Source organism: Homo sapiens, chromosome 2, assembly GCF_000001405.40.
Source record: "Homo sapiens chromosome 2, GRCh38.p14 Primary Assembly".
Taxonomy (NCBI): Eukaryota; Metazoa; Chordata; class Mammalia; order Primates; family Hominidae; genus Homo; species Homo sapiens.
Window position 1 is genome coordinate 227,734,838 of NC_000002.12, and position 20,927 is coordinate 227,755,764.

General features: G+C 43.9%; 1 protein-coding gene across 1 annotated transcript; it reads left to right on the forward strand.

Annotated features, from left to right (window-relative positions):
- Window positions 1-11,056: 11,056 nt before the first annotated feature.
- SCYGR8 (small cysteine and glycine repeat containing 8) lies at window positions 11,057-11,383 on the forward strand. Its single transcript, NM_001395409.1, has one exon. It carries the CDS (start codon window positions 11,057-11,059, stop codon window positions 11,381-11,383), a length of 327 nt encoding a protein of 108 aa, NP_001382338.1.
- The last annotated feature ends 9,544 nt before the right edge of the window (window positions 11,384-20,927 follow it).

The following is a 20,927-nucleotide window of genomic DNA, read 5'->3' on the forward strand; positions in this document are numbered from 1 at the left end:
AGACTAGAAAGTGATGAAGAAGTGAACTATCCAGTTCTCTGGGGCAAGAACACTCCAGAAAGTGGGAAGGGAACAGTGAAAAGGCAGTTCAACCAGCACCCACTTAATGGGAGTGTCAGGAGTACCGAGTTCAGTGAAGTAATGGAGAGGGTGTTGTTGGCATTTCTCGGGGACAATTTTAGGTCACTGTAAACCAGCTTTGACTGTGAGAAAAGCAGGGAAGCTGGGAAGGGATCCTCTGCCTTCCTTTATAAAAGGATTACTCCAAACAGTGCCTTGAGAATTGACCACAGGAGGGTCCAAGGTAGGACCTGGGCCATCTTGAGGAAGCTCTTGCTGGGTAGGGGTGAGGCAGCCTGAACCTGTGGGGTAGGGGCGTAGGTCAAGAGAGGATTCAGCTCTGGTAATGTCAAGTGGATTTGCTGATACATCCAGTGTAGGGTGTGAGAGGAAAATAGGAGTCAAGGTGGCACCAACGTATTTTTGGCCTGTGCAGCCAAAAGGATGGAGTTGCTGTTTATTGAGATTAACTAGAAAAGGTGTTGGCCAGGCATGGTGGGTGCGCGCTTGTGGTGCCATCTACTCAGGAGGCTAAGGTGGGAGGATTGCTTGAGCCTGGGAGGTCAAGGCTGCAATGACTTATGAGCGCGTCACTGAACTCCAGCCTGGGAGACAGAGCAAGACCTGTCTCAACCCCTGCCTCATCCCCCAAAATAAAGGGCATATCTGCAAGAAAATCATGTGCTTTTTTGGGGTGTGAGTAGGGATTGCTGGTGGGAATTTCAAGTGTTCAGTTTCTAACATGTAAATTTTCAGTTGTTAACTGTCTTCCCTTCTATAATTGTGTCCCCTGTAAAACTTTGGTGAGAGCAGGAGAGGTTTTATATAAAAGTTGAAAGCAGCATTCTTCTCATTCTTCTCAGATGTGGAGACATCCATTACCTTCAAGGTGCAGTTCCTTTGGTTTGGGTCCACAAGCAGATAAGTATTTGCCCCTTGCTTATGCAGAGGCAGACACCGTTTCCATTCGGTCATGCCAATTTGGAATATATTTCTGTCGTGTTGATATGGAGCCGTTAGGATAGATGTGTTTTTTTCTCTGCTTAGACTCAGGTGGCTCCCTGCCTGGAGGGTGGGGAGTGTGTGTGCTTTTATTTAAGCCGATGCTCACAACTGGTCTGGAGTACTGACTTCAGGTCTCTACAAAAGATGCCACAGTTTGATTTTAACCTCCTGCTGAATGAGGGACTGAAATCACAAATAGGACAGAGTTTGACACATTTCAACAAAGAAGTAATATTCATATCCCACACGTGCAATGCTTGAAATGAAATACTCCAAGTATCAGGAGGTAATAATGTTGGTTTATTGAGTCCTGAGTAATTGTCCAGCTGTGAACTTGGGCAGGGGACAAGCCCACTCTGGTGTGGGTAGGAGAGGGGTGGGAGACCCTGAAGGGAGCAGATGTTTTAGCTGTCCATCACCTGGAGCTGAGGCAGATCTGGGAACTGAAAAGGGGGTGAAGCCCTCCCAAAGGTTGGGGCATCCTCCTCCTTTCATTGCAGTTGAACTGTGGTTCCTGACCAGACTCCAAGGGGAGCAAAGATGCTTGAGGGCATTCCTTGGGAGGAGGGAGCTGGCTGGTGCTGCCCAATGCAGGCAGCATGGGATAGAGGTTAAGTACTTGTAAGAGGCACCCAGAGGTTGTATTTGACCATGACTTTAAACTACTCTGGGTTGTCTTTGAACCTTTACTAGAGACTTGCCAATAATTATGATCTGGGTTCTGAAAGGTTGTAGGGAACTAAAGGAAGACCCTGTTCCACTCTTGGGATAGAGAACAGAGAAGGGGAGCTTAGTTGGAATGGGGTGAAAGCAGTGGATGCTAGGAGAGTTGGGTCAGCCCAGCAGACCTGGGACCCCTGAGAGCTGATGACAGGAAGACAGCAGGCTCCCTGATGAAGAGGCCAGAAGCAGAGCAATGCTGCGTGTGATGTGGTGCGGTAGCGGGTAGTCTCTGCCTGCCTAGATGTGTGACCTGGCACCCCAGGAAACTCTCAGAGAAAGATGAGCTCAGAGAGTACATAGTGCAGAGGTCACTACCAGAGGGATAAAATTCCAGCAAAAAAGATGCAGGTGAATCCAGCCATCATTATTGAAGGAATTTTTTTTTTTCTTTGAGACAGACTCTTGCTGTGTCACCCAGGCAGGAGTGCAGTGGCTTGCTCACGGCTCACTACAGCCTCAACCTCCTGGGCTCAGGTGATCCTTTCACTTCAGCCTCTCGAGTAGCTGAGACCACAGGTGCATGCCACCACACCTAGCTAATTTTTTGTAGAGATGGGGTCTCACTGTATTGCCCAGGGATATTGGGAAAATTCAATGGAAATGCAACTCTACTCTATTTTTTTAAATTAATCAATTGATTTATTTTTTGAGACAGAGTCTCACTCTGTCACCCAGGCCGGAGTACAGTGGCACAATATCGACTCACTGCAGCCTCCACCTCCTAGGTTCAAGTGATTCTCCTGCCTCAGCTTCCCGAATGGCTGGGATTACAGGTGTATGCCACCATGCCCAGCTAATTTTTAGTATTTTTAGTAGAGATGGGGTTTCATCATGTTGGCTAGGCTGGTCTTGAACTCCTGACCTGAAGTGATCTGCCCGTCTTGGGCTCCCAAAGTGTTGGGATTACAGGCGTGAGCCACCGTGCCCGGCCTGAATGACTCTCTTAATCTGTAGTTCCCCCTCCATCTCCCTCTCTTTCTCTCTCCTTGAATTGTGTTTCTCCTGTGAGTTTTCCATGGTCAAATTTTGAATTTTGATAATTGCATCCCCATGTAATTAGATCTAGAGGCTTATTAAGATTCAGTTTCTATTTTTGGACAAGAATGCTTCATGTGTGGTGTTGGGTTCCTCCACCAGGAAGCATATAATTCTAATTGTCTCTCTTTGAATGATAGTGGCACCTGCTGTTAGTCACTGCCTACATCCATTAATTCATTTGGGTTGCAAAATGGTGATTGATATTCTACTTTTTCCTCATCTATTTGTTGGAATACCTTTATAGAAAGAAATGTGGGCTGGGTGGGGTGGCTCACACCTATAATCCCAGCACCTTGGGAGGCCAAGGTAGGAGGATCACTTGAGGCCAGGACTTTGAGATCAGCATGAGCAACATAGTGAGACACTGTCTCTAATACTAAAAAAAAAAAAAAAAAAAAAAGAAAACAAAGAAAAGAAAAGAAATGTCCCCTCCTCAACTCTTTGCTTACTCTGAGGTACAGTTCATTTAGGAAAAGAAGAATAAATGCCTAATTCTCCTCCTACCATTAAAAATATCTATTTCAAAATAATGTGTTAATTTCTTAGCATCTTCCAAAGATGACCAATGAGGATTTCTTAAAAATTTGCTATTATTATGAACTCATAGATTTAAAAAAAATTTATGTGTTTTAGCTCACTGTAGCCATTTTTCTTTTTGATGCTTAAATTGTTGTCTTGATATGAACCCATTACCCTTTGGTAGCTTCCTTGTTTTCTGGTGTGACAAGATATTCCAGGCTTATCCCGTACATTTTATGCCCCAAATCTGGAATCATTTTATTTATTTATTTTTTATTTTGAGACAGAGTCTTGCTCTCACCCAAACTGGAGTATAGAGGCAGAATCCTGGCTCACTGCAACCTCTGCCTCCTGGATTCAAGCAATTCTCATGCCTCAGCCTCTTAAGTAGCTGGGACTTCAGGCACATGCTACCACATCTGGTTGATTTTCTATATTTTTAGTTAGAGATGGGGTTTTGCTGTGTTGCTCAGGCTGGCCTCAAACTCCTGATCTCAAGTGATCCACCCGCCTTGGCCTCCCAAAGTGTTGGGATTACAGGCGTGAGCCACCATGCCTGGCTTGGAATCATTCATTTTTCTTTTCTTTTCTTTCTTTCTTTTTTTTTTCGAGATTTCGAGATGAAGTCTCACTCTGTCACCTAGGCTGCAGTGCAGTGGCGTGATCTTGGCTCACTGCGACCTCTGCCCTCCGGGTTCAAGCGATTATCCTGCCTCAGCCTCCCAAGTAGCTGGGACTACAAGTGCCCACCACCACACCTGGCTAACTTCTGTATTTTTAGTAGAGTGGTGTTTCACCAGGTTGATCAGGCTAGTCTTGAACTCCTGACCTCAAGTGATCTGCCCGCCTAGGCCTCCCAAAATGCTGGTATTATAGACATGAGCCACCGTGCCCAGCCTGGAATCATTCATTTTTCAAGGAGCTCTTATTTGTATTTCTTTTTAAAATGCCTGATTCTTCCTTTACATATTTCCCTATGTGAATTTATAAAAGTTCCTTACATATAAAGATATTAATCTTTTGTCCTATATGCATATATATTTTCCCCAGTTTCAGAAATTTTGAAGCTTTGTTTTTGTCAGAAATTTAAACATTTTATAAGTCACATCTCTCAATTTTTTTCCATATTGTTGGGAAAAAGCTGAGTGTTGGGGAAAAAACTGAGGCAGGGCTTGCATGTCTGAAATAATGTCCTCTGGAATGTGTCTAGACTTGCTGGCTCCTTGCTTCTAGCCCTCCTAGGCTCCCAGATCAATCGTATTCGCATTATCTCAAGTAGCAGAACATGGTCCATATAAACACTAAACTATCACAGCTGTGGATCATGTGTCTGCCCTTTTGACCCCCACATTCTCACTGCCGGTTTCTTTGTTGGATTACCAATAAATAGCGTGGGCTCCTAGAGCTCGGGGCCTTCGCCGCCTCCATAATCGCGATGGCACCCTGGTCCCACTTTACTTCTCAAACTGTCTTTTTCTCAATCCTTTGACTCCGCCAGACTTTGTTGCCCGCGCGACCTGGTGTTGGGTCTGATCACCCCAATGCGTATGATTTTTGGTATTGGTGCCATATTAAGCAAGGTATTCCACAGCCCAGGAATATAATACTATTCTCCCATATTTTTTATACTACCTCTATTGCCTTACTTTTTTATATTTCAATACTTAATCCGGAATTTATGGAGATTTGGCATGATGCAAGGGTTTTATGGCATGATGCAAGGGTTTTACTTAAAAAATCATTTTATGTCATACTCTAGTTGTGTAAGATGTTATCCTTGACGGAAGCTGGACTAAGAGTACGTGGGCCCTCTCTATGCTATTTTTGCAACCAAAAGTCTATTATAATTTCAAAATAAGTAAAAAAACAAAAAACCAAAAACACTGAGTAGAGTGGCTCCCAACTGTAATGTCAGCACTTTGGGAGGCTGAGGCATGAGGATCGCTTGAGGCCAAGAGTTCAAGACCAGCCTGGGCAACACAGTGAGACCCTGTCTCTACAAAAAAATAAAAATAAAAATTAGCTGAGTGTGGTGATTCATGCCTGATATCCTACCTACTTGGGAGGATTAGGCAGGAGGACTGTTTGAACCCAGGAGTTCGAGGGTGCAGCGAGCTATGATGGTGCCACTGTCACTCTAGCCTGGGTGACAGATTGACACCCTGTCTCAAAAAAAAAAAAGAAGGAAAAAACCCATTTTTGTCATTTTGTTATTGTTGTGGTGGTGGTGGTTGGTATCCAGGTTTATTCTTCCAGATGGTTAGCTAAATGTTTAATTGCTTAGGGAGCTTAGTGGTGAATATGAGGTAATTTACAGAAGTTACATACATAATTGGCGTTTATGTGGTCATTAAGAAACAGTTTCTGAAAAGCAAATATTTAATAATGAGGGTAATTGTATATGATTAAATGTTAAGTTAAAAACCGGGATACAAAATTATATATTCACAATATTTTTAATTTTGCCATATAAATTCAAGGAAATAGCCGGGCATGATGGCTCACATCTGTAATCCCAGTACTTTGAGAGGCCAAGGTGGGCAGATCACCTGAGGTCAGGAATTCAAGATCAGCCTGGCCAAAATGGTGAAACCCTCTCTCTACTAAAAATACAAAAATTTAGCCAGGCATCGTGGCACGTGCCTGTAATCCCAGCTACACGGGAGGCTGAGCCCAGATGGCGCTATTGCACTCTAGCTTGGGCGACAGAGCAAGACTCCATTTCAAAAAAAAAAAAAAAAAAAAAAATCAAGGTAATAGTCTATGTTAATTAAAAGAAAAAAGAACCCAGGTGCTGTGGCTCATGCCTGTATAACCAGCACTCTGGGAGGCCGAGGTGGTCAGACCACCTGAGGTCGGGAGTTTGAGACCAGCCCAGCCAATATGGTGAAACCCCATCTCTACTAAAAATATAAAAATTAGCTGGGCGTGGTGGCACATGCCTGTAATCCCAGCTACTCGGGAGACTGAGGCAGGAGAATCACTTGAACCTGGGAGGTGGAGGTCGCAGTGAGCTGAGATGGCGCCATTGCAGTGAGCTGAGATGGCGCCATTGCACTCCAGCCTGAGTGACAAGAGCAAAACTCCATCTCAAAGAAAAAACAAATAATTAAAAAAAAAAAGAAAAGAAAACAGTAGATTAGCAATGGCAAAATCTGGTGGACATCATGTTAATTGGGTGATAAAATTTAATATCACTAGAAATGGGATCAATTAACATCACACACTTGTTGATGTGATGCACTGAGGAAAACACATCAACTGTGTAATATTTCTGCAAAAACGTTTAACCAGAACCTGACCACGAGGAAACAATAAGCCAAATCTCTGTTGAGGGTTATTTTGCAAAACAACTCTCCAGGACAAAAATAAAATGCTGGAAAACCGTTCTAGATTAAAGTTCAATAAAAATACATCTTTGATTGGATCTGACATGAAAAATTATTAAAAATGCAATTCCAAATTATAGGACATTCTTGGGATAATTAGGGAAATTTAAGATTGGTTAAACATTACATAAAAACGTGTCACTTTTAAATCTCTCAAGTGTGATAATAGTATTGTAGTTCTATAGGAGAATCTCCCTTTTGGGAGACACTTACTAAAATTTGTAGTATTCCTCTTCAACTTACTTTCATTCAAATGGGAGAGAGAAGGCTGGGTGCAGTGGCCCACTTCTGTAATCTCAATGCTTTGGAAGGCTGAAGTGGATGGATGGTTTGAGGCCAGGAGTTCAAGACCAGTATGGGCAACATAGCCAGACCCCATCTCTACAAAAATGTAATATAAAATAAAATAAAATAAAATGAAAGAGAGAGAACTAAAATGAAATGTATGGCAAAATGTTAACTACTGGTTAACTTAAGTAAATGGTATACAGGATTTTACTATAATATTCTTGCAAATTTTCTGTGGGTTTAAGATTCTACAAAATACAAATATTGGAAAAAAACAAAACATAGAAAAATGATGGAGCAATGTGAAGTGGCTTATGCCTGTAATCTCAGCATTTCGGGAGGCCAAGACAGGAGGACTGCTTGAGCCCAGGAGCTGAAGACCAGCCTGGACAACATAGCAAGACCCCATCTCCATTTTTAAAAGGCATAGGAAAATGATGGAAGAAAATACGACAAAATGGTAAAAGTGGTTATTACAGGCACTATTAATTTTCTCCTTTACGTTTTTCTGTATTTTAAAATTGTTTATAATGAACTTATATTTATTATTCTAAATTCAGAAAAAAAAATTTAGAGGAGAGAAAAACCACTCAATTTTCCCCATTTTTCTTTTTCAATGTTCTATGCCAATTTCCATAACCTGACATGACAACAGGTGGACTCAGGAAAGAGGTAGAGGCAGCTGCTGATGTCTAGGTGTGGCACCTTCTGAAGTGTTTGGGAAAGTGCTGTTACTATCCATAGCGTGCATTTTGGAACAACCCTCAACTCTGTTGTGAACGTGTTTTGAGGCAGGTGTCCCATCTAGGTTGTGTTTCCCTGGGAATCTAAGCAATGGTTGTAGATGTGGTCTAATTCCCTGAGCAAAGATGTTCTGGGCATGAGCTATAAGAATTCTGAAGACATGCTGGGTGATGTGGCTCACACCTGTAATCCCAGCACTTTAGGAGGATGAGGCGGGTGGATTACCTGAAGTCAGGAGTTCAAGACCAGCCTGGCCTACGTAGTGAAACCGTGTCTCTACTTAAAAAAACACAAAAATTAACCAGGTGTGGTATTGCGTGCCTGTGGTCCCAGCTACTCAGGAGATTGAGGCAAGAGAATCACTTGAATCTGGGAGGTGGAGGTTACGGTGAGCTGAAATCGCGCCACTACACTCCAGCCTGGGCAACAGAGTGAGACTCCGTCTCAAATAATGATAATAATAATAATAATAAATGCTGAACACTTGCAGAGAATAAGATTAGGGTGAATTACTTACTGAAACCTATGGCCTGAGCAAACTTGAGCCCAAGAATCCCCTGATACTTCCCCCAAATAACTTCACTCTCAGCCTACAGGAACCCTGAGACATTGAAGATTTTGGCCAATTGAAAAATCAGACATCTGCATTCCACAGAGAGGGGAGGGCAGCCATTGTCATGCTGTCACTGCTGCTGTTTTTGCCTGACATCTCCCAGCCCAGCCCCAAAGCTATTGTGTATGTGTTGGAAGACACATGGGTCCAGGAAAGTAGAAGAATTAGGAGCGCTGCTCTCCCTGGTTAGGGGTTACTGAGGTCATTAATACTTCTTAGCTGTGATGTCAAAAGCACACCACAGGCCGGGAGTGGTGGATCATGCCTACACTCCCAACATTTTGGAAGGCTGAGGTGGGTGGATCACCTGATGTCGGGAATTCGAGACCAGCCTGGCCAACATGGTGAAACCCTGTCTCTGCTAAAAATACAAAAATTAGCCAGGTGTGGTGGTGCACGTCTGTAATCCCAGCTACTTGGGAGGCTGAGGCATGAGAATTGCTTGAACCTAGGAGGCAGAGGTTGTAGTGAGTGAAGATTGTGCCACTGCACTTCACCCTGGGCGACTGAGTGAAACTCCATCTAAAAAGAAAAGGGAGAAGAGCACAAAAACAAGGTCCCCAGACAGAGTCCAGAGTCAGCCGTCTGTAGCTGAACCTGGTGGCATGGGTCTATAGTCCCAGCTACTGGGAGGCTGAAGATGGAGAAGCACTTGAACCCAAGGAGCCTGAGGCTGCAGTGAGCTATGATTGCACCATTGCACTCTAGTCTGTGTGACTGAGCAGGACCCTGTCTCAAAAAATCAAGGAACAAAATGAAACAAAAAGGACAGCCATCTCATACAGCAGGGCAGGCAGGTCTGGAAGTAGCAGGAACCAACTGAGGGAGTCTGGCCCTTATGTCTCTACTGTGGGCATCATAGACATTATACGAGTGTCTCATGTAGGGCACTGGGCAGACAAAACAGAGAGCAGGAGGACTCCTCATAGCCCCACACCTGTGAGAGGTAGATCAAGGGAGGGTGTCTTAAGCCTTTCTTCTGCTTTCAAAAAGTCAGCTTATGAAAGAGGTGCCAGTTGTAAAACCACGGACACCGACATCCTGGGGGACATGCAGCCCCCTGCAGAGCCTGGTGGTTGTTGATCAGAACCTGCAGCGTAAGTTCCAAGAGGGACTGCGGGGTCTCCACCGCATGGGCCTCTTCTGTGCGTTGTCTGGAGAATAGAGATTAGCCGGGCAGGCCTTTAACTCTGGAGATAGTCAGGCAAGAACCTTACCCTACTGACTTACTCACACCCACGGGCTACCTGGGGCAGGAAATGGAGGCCTGACAGGTAGAGTCAGTTGGACCGAATGGGATCATTCCAAATAAACATTCCATTAGTGCGTGGGCAGGCCTAAGCCTGGAGCCTCCCCATGGGTCTTAAACGTGAGAGAGGCACGAGAGAAGGCCAGCCACCAAATGTAAACTTTGTTGCTTTTGTTTTCCCAATTATTTAACAGATAAACAACAAACAGAAACCTCACCCTTGGGAGATGACTTAGGAGTAGGCCCTAAATAATTGCGTTTTTAGCATTTCACATAGCACAATATTTTTTTTGGAATTTTTTATGATCAAGCAATTCTTCTGGTGAATGAAAAATCCCAAGGAGCTAGAAAAGAGAATATTTGTGTTTTAAGGTGAGATATAAGGTGCAAGGTAATACATTCAGAAATGCCTACTCTGTTTCTTTCTTTTTTTTAGATGGAATTTCACTCTGTCACCCAGGCTGGAGTGCAATGGCACAATCTTGGCTCACTGCAACCTCTGCCTCCCAGGTTCAAGTGATTCTCCTGCCTCAGCCTCCTGAGTAGCTGGTCTAATTTTTTTTTTTTGAAACAGAGTCTCCCTCTGTCTCCCAGGCTGGAGTGCAATGGCATGATCTCAGCTCACCGTGACCTCCACCTCCTGGGTTCAAGTGATTCTCCTGCCTCAGCCTCCCAAGTAGCTAGGATTACAGGCATGTGCCACCATACCTGGCTAATTTCGTATTTTTGGTAGAGATGGGGTTTCTCCATGTTGGTCAGGCTGGTCTTGAACTCCCGACCTCAGGTGATCCACCCGCCTCGGCATCCCAAAGTGCTGGGATTGCAGGCGTGAGCCACCGTGCCCAGCCAAGAAGGTTTTTTTTTAATATCATAAGACTGTGTGATGAATTCCAACAGAGAGAAAAACAATGTTTTGTCCAACCTGTGACAACTGAGAAGTATCAACAGAGACACAAGACTTTTTACCTGGCTCTGGATTCAGACTCTCATGATTATAAAGAAATGAAGATTATTCTTAAATGTTCTAGGCATTTATTTAATTCAAAAGATACCTATTGAATACTTACAATGTGTCGGGCACTATTTTAAGCCCTAACACACATTTAAGTTCTTGCAAACACAAACATCTTAGAGGTGTGTTCTCATCCAAACAGAGGTTTAAGAGATGAGCAAAAGTTAAATTTAGCAATATTAGCTTGTTAAGATGTTCACAAGGTAGGGCGTAAGACAACTCATGAGATCTTTTATGAGATCTCATAAACAACAACAAGAAATAGGATAAACAACAACAAGAAATGGGCCACATATTGGGCTTGGCTTGCTGGAGTTGCTATATAAGGGCTTCCCCGGACAGAAGGCGGCATCAGACCTCTTCATCTCTCCTGAGCCCTCTATCCTCGCTTCTCCTCAGTCCTCTCTACTGACACCATGGGTTGCTGTGGGTGTGGTGGCTGCGGTGGTGGCTGTGGTGGCTGCAGTGGTGGCTGTGGTGGTGGCTGCGGTGGTGGCTGCGGCGGTGGTGGCTGCGGTGGTGGCTGTGGCAGCTGCACCACCTGCAGGTGCTACCGGGTGGGCTGCTGCTCCAGCTGCTGCCCCTGCTGCCGTGGCTGCTGTGGAGGCTGCTGCAGCACTCCCGTGATCTGCTGCTGCCGCCGCACCTGCAGCTCGTGTGGCTGTGGCTATGGGAAGGGCTGTTGCCAGCAGAAGGGATGCTGTCAGCAGAAGTGCTGCTGCCAGAAGCAATGCTGCTGCTAGGTGGGAACCCAGCCTCTGGGCAGGGGCTGTAGCCACTCATGCTGTTGGTAAGACTGCGGGTCTGCAGGTGCCGCAGGGAGGCAGCTTGCTCCCCTTGCTGTGGCTTTCCTCCATCCCATCCCGTGTGCTCCCTGCTGTCTCCCTGTCACCCAGACTTCATGGCACTTTTCTGCTTGGTTCTCATCTCTGTAGTTTAAGTAATTCTTCCTATTATTAAGGTAGTCACATGGGCAACTGGTACAATGTCATTCAAGCACAAAGATGCAGGACATTTTGAGTTTTGAGCTCAGCAAAGCAGGATCATGATTTTGACCATGCTTTCTTCTTTGAACTCTTTTCTCTCTAGGCATTAGGTCTTCTTGTGTGTTCCACATATGCTCTGTCTTTTCTGGGCCATAGAGTCTTTTCTAGGTGTTCTCCTAAAATTTTCTTTTTTTGTTTTACTAATTCATGGTCTTCATTTTAGTGCTATAATTTTGATTATATCACCAAAAAATCTTTTTTCCCTTTGGTAGTAACCCATCTATATTTTTTTACTTAAAAAAATTGATACATAATAGATGTAGATATTTGGGGGGGATACATGTGATATTTTAATAAATTTACATAATGTGTAATAATCAAATCAGGGTAATTGGGATATTAATCACCTTAAATCTTTTTCTTTTATGCTGGGAACATTCAAATTATTCTCTATTAACTGTTTTGAAATGGGTAATAGTTTATTGTTTACTATAGTCACTCTACTGATTTATTGAGCACTAGGTATTGTTCTTTTAACTGTATTTTTGTACTCATTAATCAACCATTCTTCATGAAAAATTTCATAATAAAATGCAAAAGTGAACTCTGAACAGTTTCCCTTAGTTTTATTCTTATAGATATTTTTCATTAAACTACCATTAATCATGATTTTATGTGGGTTGGAGGCCATTAAGGATACACATATAATTATGCCCTTGTGTGGTTTACTTCCATTTATACACAAATAACCACAAACATGAGGTAGAAGAATAACAAACGTGTTAAAAGTTCTATGTTGATGTGTATGTCATGGGCAGGAACAACTCCACATTGCTGGATGGGGAATGGGTGTAATTCAAAGGAACTCGGATCACTTCAAGAAGGAAGGGACATTTGGGAGTGTGTTTTGAAGAATTAGTAAGGTTTTGACAGGTGGAGGTGGTTGGGGCAGATGTTTCGAGAAGGGCAAAAATGTGAGAATGGAAAAGTTCAAGACATACATGGGACAAATCATGAATTTGACCTACAGTAGGCTAATATAAATAGTTACAAGTCAACAATGACAGGAAGGCTGTCCTACAATTTGGAAGGCTGAGGGGTTAAGAATAACAGCACGGACAACAGCAACAGTAACTGGCATTTGCATTGCCCTTAAAAACCAGGTATTCTGGCCAGGCGTGGTGGCTCATGCCTGCAATCTCAGCACTTTGGTTTTTGTTTTGTTTTGTTTTTTAGACAGAGTCTCAATGTCTCACCCAGGCTGGAGTGCAGTGGCATGATCTTGGCTCACTGCAACCTCTGCCTCCTGGGTTCAAGTGATACTCATGCCTCAGCCTCCCGAGTAGCTGGGATCACAGGCTTGCGCCACCACGCCTGACTAATTTTTGTATTTTTAGTAAAGACGGGGTTTCGCTGTGTTGGCCAGAGTGGTCTCGAACTCTTGGCCCTCAGTGATCCACCCGCCTCAGTCTCCCAAAGTGCTGGGAGGATCACTTGAGCCCAGGAGTTCAAGACCAGTCTGGGCAACATAGTGAGACCTAGTGTCTACAAAAAAATACACAAATTAACTGGGCGTGATGGTGTGCAGCTGTAGTCCCAGCTACTTGAAAGGCTGAGGTGAGAGGATCACTTGAGCCTGGGAGGTTGAGGCTGCAGTAGCCATAATAGTGCCACTGTACTGCAGCGTGGGTGACAGAGTGAAAAGGGGACAGGCATTCTTCTAAGCACATACATGTGTCATGTTGCAGAGAGGGAAATGGCACAGAGAAGTTATTAACTTGTTCAAAGCACATAACTGCCGCAGGGGGCGCTGCACACACAGCAATGCTATGGGCCAGGGAAGGCTTTTGAGAGGGGACACTTACCTGGACAGCAATGTGCAGAATTAATCGGTTCACTGGGAGAACGGAGCAGTGTCAGAAATCCTGGGCAAAGCAACGAGGGCCCAAGACAACAGCAGAGTGGGAATGGCAAGAGTATTTGTGGGGAGTTAAGGCATAATACAAACCAAACAAATGAGGGGAATGTCTGAGATGACAAAACAGGCAAGATGACAATGGTGATTTAACAATGCACTGGGACTTCTATTCTTCTTTTCTTAGAGATTTGGGAAATTGTACAAGGTAGTCCAGTTTATTCTTTATTTTTATTTTATTTTATCTTGTTTTTTTCAAACAAGGTCTTGCAATGTTGCCCAGGCTGGAGTGCAGTGGCACCATCATTACTGACTAAAGTCTCAACCTCCTGGGCTCAAGCGATCCTCCCACCTTGGCCTCCTGAGTAGCTGAGATCACAGGTGCATGCTACCACACTTTTTACATTTTGTGATAGAATCGAGGTCTTGCTGTGTTGCCCGGGATGGTCTCAAACAGTTGGGCTCAAGTGATCCTCCTAACATGCTTGGATTACAGGTGTGTGCCGCTGTGCCTGGCCCCATTTTAAAATTCTTATCAAATATGATCAACTAGGTCAGAAACTGGCCATTTCCTTTAAAGTTGTTTGTTTCACTCTGTAAGATGTAGCAGGAAAGGGAGTTGATAATCTAAAAATGCTTTCTAATAAATGTGCATGATAACTCCCTTATATATCACTGATCCTGATCTTGGTGTATTTACTCTATTGCAGATGAAATGTGAAATGGTTATTTTGAGAAAAGGCAGATCTGCTTGACTGGCTACATTGGGCTGACCCGAAAAGATCTAGGCTTGAAAAAAAAATTGCCTTCTTTTTTTTTTTTTTTTAGGTGGAGTCTTGTGCTGTCACCCAGGCTGGAGTGCAATGGCGCAATCTCTGCTCACTGCAACGTCTGTCTCCTGAGCCCAAGCAGTTCTGCTGTCTCAGCCTCCTGAGTAGCTGGGATTACAGGCATGCGCCACCATGCCTGGTTAATTCGTATATTTTTAGTAGAGCTGGAAGTTTCACCATGTTGGCCAGGCTGGTCTCGAACTCCTGTCCTCAAATGATCTGCCTGCCTCAGCCTCCCAAAGTGCTGGGATTACAGGCGTGAGCCACTGTGCCTGGCCTGCTTTTTTATTTTATTTATTTATTTATTTTTAATTATTTTTTTCAGACGAAGTCTTCCTCTGTTGCTCAGGCTGGAATGCAGTGGTGGGATCTCAGCTCACTGCAACCTCCGCCTCCCAGGTTTAAGCGATTCTCTCACCTCAGCCTCCCAAGTAGCTGAGACTAGTCATGTGCTACCACACCTGGCTAATTTTTGTATTTTTAGTAGAGATGAGGTTTCACCATATTGGCCAGGCTGGTCTCGAGCTCCTGACCTCAAGTGATCCACCCATCTAGGCCTCCCAAAGTGCTGGGATTACAGGCATGAGCCATCACACCCAGCCAAAAATTGCTTTTTTAGTCTACTTAAATGAATCCTTCCTTCCTTCCTTCCTTCCTTTCCTTCCCTCCCCCCTCCCTCCCTCCTTCCTTCCTTTCTTCCTTGCTTTTCTCTTTTTCTTTCCTTCCTTCTTTCCTTTCAAGACAGGGTCTCACTGTCACCCAGGCTGGAGTGCAGCCTTGACCTCCTGGGCTCAAGCAATCCTCCTGCTTTAGCCTCCCAAGCAGGTGGAACTACAGGCATGCACCACCATGCCCGCCTAATGTAAATTTTTTTTTGTCGAGAAAGGGTCCTGCTCTGTTGTCCAGGCTGGACTCAACATCGTGGCCTCAGATAATTTTCCTACCTTATCCTCCCAAAGTGCTGTAACTACAGGTGTGAGCCACCTCCTACTTATTGAATGTTGATTTTTTGCATTCATTTTAAGAACGTTTGGATGAAGATTGTAGACTAACAACACACATTATAGGGATCACAGGGCTCGGCACATGTATAGTTTGCCACTAAATATTGTTAGAATGAGCAAATGTTATATATATTATATATACTATATCTACATATAGGTCAGGCTTGGTGGCTCATGCTTGTAATCCCAGCACTTCGGGAGGCTGAGGCAGGAGGATTACTTGAGGGCAGGAGTTTGAGACCAGCCTGGCCAACATGGTGAAACCCCATCTCTACTAAAAATACAAAAAGTAGCTCAGCATGGTGGTACGTGCCTGTTATCTCAGCTACTCGGGAGGCTAAGGCAGGAGAATCGCTTGAACACCTGGAGGCAGAGGTTGCAGTGAGCCAAGATTATGCCACTGCACTCCAGCCTGGGCGACAGAGAAAGACTCTATCTCAATAAAATAAAATAAAATAAAATAAAATAAAATAAAACCATATATATTATATATAATATAGGTTATATATATGTTTGTATATGTTACTTGTATTCATTATCGTATACTTACGTTATACATGAAATTCATATATATAGGTTATACATATGTTACTTATATATAACAGATACATATACCTCAGATTATATATGTTACAATACAATTTTTACATATCCATATGTTATATGTATATACATATGTATGTATGTATAACACATACACAGTCTAAACTTTGTGACTTAACACATGATTTTGTAAAATCTAGTAGTTTTTGGAGCATATGTTCTCAAATACATTGTTTCCGTTGTTAAGGCTTGCCTCTGCCTCACTGTGTCTGTTCCTTCCCGATCTTTGGGTCAACTGTGATTACAGGGACTTCACCCTTGTGTTTACTGTATGCTCCTTGGCTTCTACCAGAGGTTCTCACAGGTCAGAGTATTACCATTAGAAAGTCCTTTAGGCACTTCAATCCAGACAAAGCAAAGGCATCAAGATCTTCTGTATGTACTTATATGAAGAATATCCAGTGGCTCACACCTGTAGTCCCAGCACTTTGGGAGGCCTAGGTGGGCGGATCACTTGAGGTCAGGAGTTTGAGACCAACTTGACCAACATGGTGAAGCCCTGTCTCTACTAAAATTACAAAAATAACTGGGTGTGGTGGTGGACACCTGTAATCCCAGCTACTCGGGAGACTGAGGCAAGAGAATTGCCTGAACCCAGGAGGCGGAGGTTGCAGTGAGCTGAGCCAAGGTCATGCCACTGCCCTGCAGCCTGGGCAATAGAGAATGACTGTCTCAAATATTTTAAAAAAAGTCCTCGTGTGTGTTTGTGCTGGCTGGCTAGTGAGCTATTTGTGAAAAGGGTAAGTGTATGGTGTAAGAAGGTGGACATGGACAAATAATGGTTGTTTTTGTCACCGCTAGAGGGTCATGACTGAAAATTGTCCAGGTTCTTGTCATTTTGAACAAAGAACTGGACAAATTGCCCAGCAAAGCAAAAAAAAGAATGAAGCAACAAAAGAATGAAAGCAGGGATTTACTGAAAATGAAAAGTACACTCCACAGTGTGGGTTCTAGCCAAGCAGTGGGTCAAGGGCCCAGATACAGAATCTTCTTGCGTTCAAATACCGCCTAGAAATTTCCCATTGGCCACTTCATACTCACCTCATGTAAATGAAGTGGTAGCCAACAATCAGTCTGATTGGTTGTGGACAGCAGCCGAACAGAGGCTGAAGTGAAGTTACATAGGTCACACTTCTGTGCAAATGTCTGATAGGTTGCTTTTTTGGCAGCAATTGGTTGGCTAGGGTGAAGTTACAAAGTTATAATTCTATGCAAATGAAGTATACATAGAAGAACAAGTGGGTGGAGGAGGCAGAGAGGTGGCAGAGAGGTTGCTGTGAGCTGAGATCACACCACTGCACTCCAGCCTGGGCGACAGAGTGAAACTCCATCTCAAAAATAAAAAACCAAACCCCCAAAAAGCAAAGGTGAATTACTCAGAAATACAGTATAACATAGTAAACAATTTCTTAACTAACTTTTTGTAAGCACATTATCTACCAACAATAGCATATTGTATTTGTCTGCTAGGGCTGCTATAACAAAACACACAGGCTGGGGAGGCTTAAACAATAGAAATTTATTTTCTCACAGTCTGGAGGCTGGAAGTATAAGATCAAGATGCCAGTGAAACCGCCTTTGCAAAGTTACAATTGAGTAAATTATGGCAGTGAAAGCCGACTCCATCTTGCTTCTAACCTTCAAGCTGTCCTTGTTCATTCCTGGGCATAGGCCGAACTAACTTTAGGAAGGAATTCCGTTCATGGTTTGACTCTGAAATAAAATTGATAATAGCCCTTTCCCTAAAAGACCCCCTTCTTGCCTGGGGACTAGTCTGCCTTTGCAAGACTAACAAATTAGCTACAAGATTAGAAATTACAGATAGGGGTCACGCAGCCTCTGGCTCCAAGAGTCCAAACCTCCCCAAATTGTTCTTGGGGATAATATCACTATTTTAAAACCTAAGATCAGTGCTTGTGATATTTTGCAGACCCTGCACTATATGGATTAGCTGATACCATCCAGACTGGTAACCTAGCTCAACCAGTTCTGCCTTCCCACCCAGCAACAGAGAACATCAAGAAAAAGTCACTTCGGGCTGGGCGTGGTGGCTCACTCCTGTAATCCCAGCACTTTGGGAGGCCGAGGTGGGCGGATCACTTGAGGTCAGGAGTTTGAGACCAACCTGACCAACGTGGCAAAACCCTGTCTCTAATAAAACTACAATATTAGCTGGGTGTGGTGTTGCGAGCTTGTAATCCCAGCTACTTGGGAGGTTGAGACAGGAGAATCGCTTGAACCTGGGAGACGGAGGTTGCAGTGAGCCGAGATCGCACCATTGCACTCCAGCCTGGACAACAAGAGGGAAACTCCATCTCAAACAAACAAACAAACAAACACACAGGAAAAACTCACTTCGACCCCCTATGATTCCATCTCCAACCTGACCAATCAGAACTCCCCACTTCCCAAACCCCTACCCGCCAAATTATCTTTAAAAACTCTGATCCCTGAATGCTTGAATGCTCTGGGAGACTGATTTGGGTAGTAATAAAACTCCGGTCTCCCGCACAGCCAGCTCTGCATAAATTACTTTCTCCATTGCAATTTCCCTGTCTTGATAAATTGGCTCTGTCTAGGCAGCTGGCAAGGTAAACCCATTGGGTGGTTATACAGCAGGGTTGGTTTTTTCTGAGTCTTCTCTTCTTGGCTTGCAGATGACCCTCCTGCCATGTCCTCATACAGCGTTTTCTCTGTGTCCACTCATCTCTGGTGCCTCTTTCTTTCTTTTTCTTTCTTTCTTTTCTTTCTTTCTTTCTTTCCTTCCTTCCTTCTTTCTTTCTTTCCTTCTTTCTCTCTCTCTCCTTCCTTCCTTCCTTTCTTTCTTTCTTCCTTTCTTTCTTTCTCTCTTTCTTTTTCTTTCTTTCTTTCTTTTCTTTCTTTCTTCTTTTCTTTCTTTTTTGAGACAGAGTCTTGCCCTGTCACCCAGGATGGAGTGCAATGGCATGATCTCAGCTCAATGCAACCTCCGCCTCCCAGGTTCAAACGATTCTTCTGCCTCAGCCTCCTGAGTAGCTGGGATTACAGGTGCCCGCCACCACACCCAGCTAATTTTTGTATTTTTAGTAAAGACAGGGTTTCACCATGTTGGCCAGGCTGGTCTCGAACTCCTGACCTCCTGATCTGCCCACCTCGGTCTCCCAAAGTGCTGGGATTACAGGCGTGAGCCACTGCTTCCGGCCTGCCTTTTTCTTCTCATGGGAACACTGGCCATACTGAATTAGGGTCCCACCTTAAGGGCCTCATTGAATTTAATTACATCCTAAGAGGCCCCATCTCCAAATATAGTCACATTAGGGGTTAGAGCTTCAACATATGAATTTTGGTGGGAGGCAGGGTTCACACTTCAGTCCATAACACATCTCATTATTGTAAATCCACAAAGGTGGAGTACTTTGAACAAAACACATAGAATTAGGGGAGCCCCAGACGAATTAATCTCTAAGAATAAAAGTAGGAAGAGTTGGCATATTATATATACATCCCATATCTACTCCTACATGGGGACAATACCTGTGAGCAAGAATATTTGTTGTATTGTTTGTAGAAGAAAAATGTTTGAAACAACGTAATGACCCAACAAAGGAAGACTTAGTTAAGTTTGGCACACGTGTGAAAAGAAATAAATTATAGTAACAAATGAGAAGGAGGCAGCTGCCTATGTATTATTTTTAGGTCATATTGATGAGGAAATCAAGGTAAGAAGTAGAATGGTATACTCAGCTGTCACAGGGGTCTGTATGTGCATAGAATATCTTTTTCTTTTCTTTTCTTTCTTTCTTTCTTTCTTTTTTTTTTTTTTTGAGACGGAGTTTTGCTCTTGTTGCCCAGGCTGGAGTGCAATGGCATGATCTTGGCTCACTGTAACCTCTGCCTCCTGGGTTCAAGCGATTCTCCCGTCTCAGCCTCCTGAGTAGCTGGGATTACAGGTGCCCGCCACTACGCCCGGCCAATTTTTGGTATTTTTAGTAGAGACGGGGTTTCATCATGTTGGCCAGGCTGGTCTTGAACTCCTGATCTCAGGGGATTCTCCTGCCTCGGCCTCCCAAAGTGCTGGGATTCCAGGTGTGAGCCACCGCACCCAGCCAGAATATCTTTAAAAAGATACTCAAGGCAGGGCGCGCAGTGGCTCACACCTGTAATTCCAGGACTTTGGGATGCTGGGGCTGGAAGATTGCTCGAGGCCAGGATTTTGAGACCAACCTGGGCAGCATAGTAAGATCCCATCTCTATTCAATTAAAAAAAAAGATACTCAAGACAATGGTAAGGGAGGGGAATTGGTGGCTGAAGGATGGGGTGAGGGGTGGAGGAAAGTTTACTTTTCACTCTTTGACCTTTTTGTACATTTAAAATTTTGTACTATTTCTTTTTTTCCAGGGAAAAAGTCATAATGACATTGGTTCATGCAGAAATAACCCAACCCAAGAAACTGCTTGGAAACGTATGATTAAGGAGTTTCAGGAACCCCGCCCCCACCCCTCCCCCACTCAAATCTGAATCAGTTGTGACTATCACCTTAGGGAGGAATGACTGCGATTAATTTAAACTAAAGAATTTAAAATTAGTGTTGATTTTGAAGAACTGATTAAAATGATCTGTTGTTACCTAAGACAAACTTTTTTTTTTTTTGAGACAGAGTTTCACTCTTATTGCCTAGGCTGGAGTGCAATGGCACGATCTCGGCTCACTGCAACCTCTGCCTCCCAGGTTCAAGCAATTCTCCTGCTTCCACTTCCCAAGTAGCTGGGATTATAGGCATGTGCCACCATGCCAGGTTAATTTTGTATTTTTAGTAGAGATGGGGTTTCACCATGTTGGTCAAGCTGGTCTAGAACTCCTGATCTCAAGTGATCCACCCGCCTTGGCCTCCCAAAGTACTGGGATTACAGGCGTGAGCCACTGCACCAGGCCCAAACTTTTTTTAATGACACAGGTAATATATGGATAC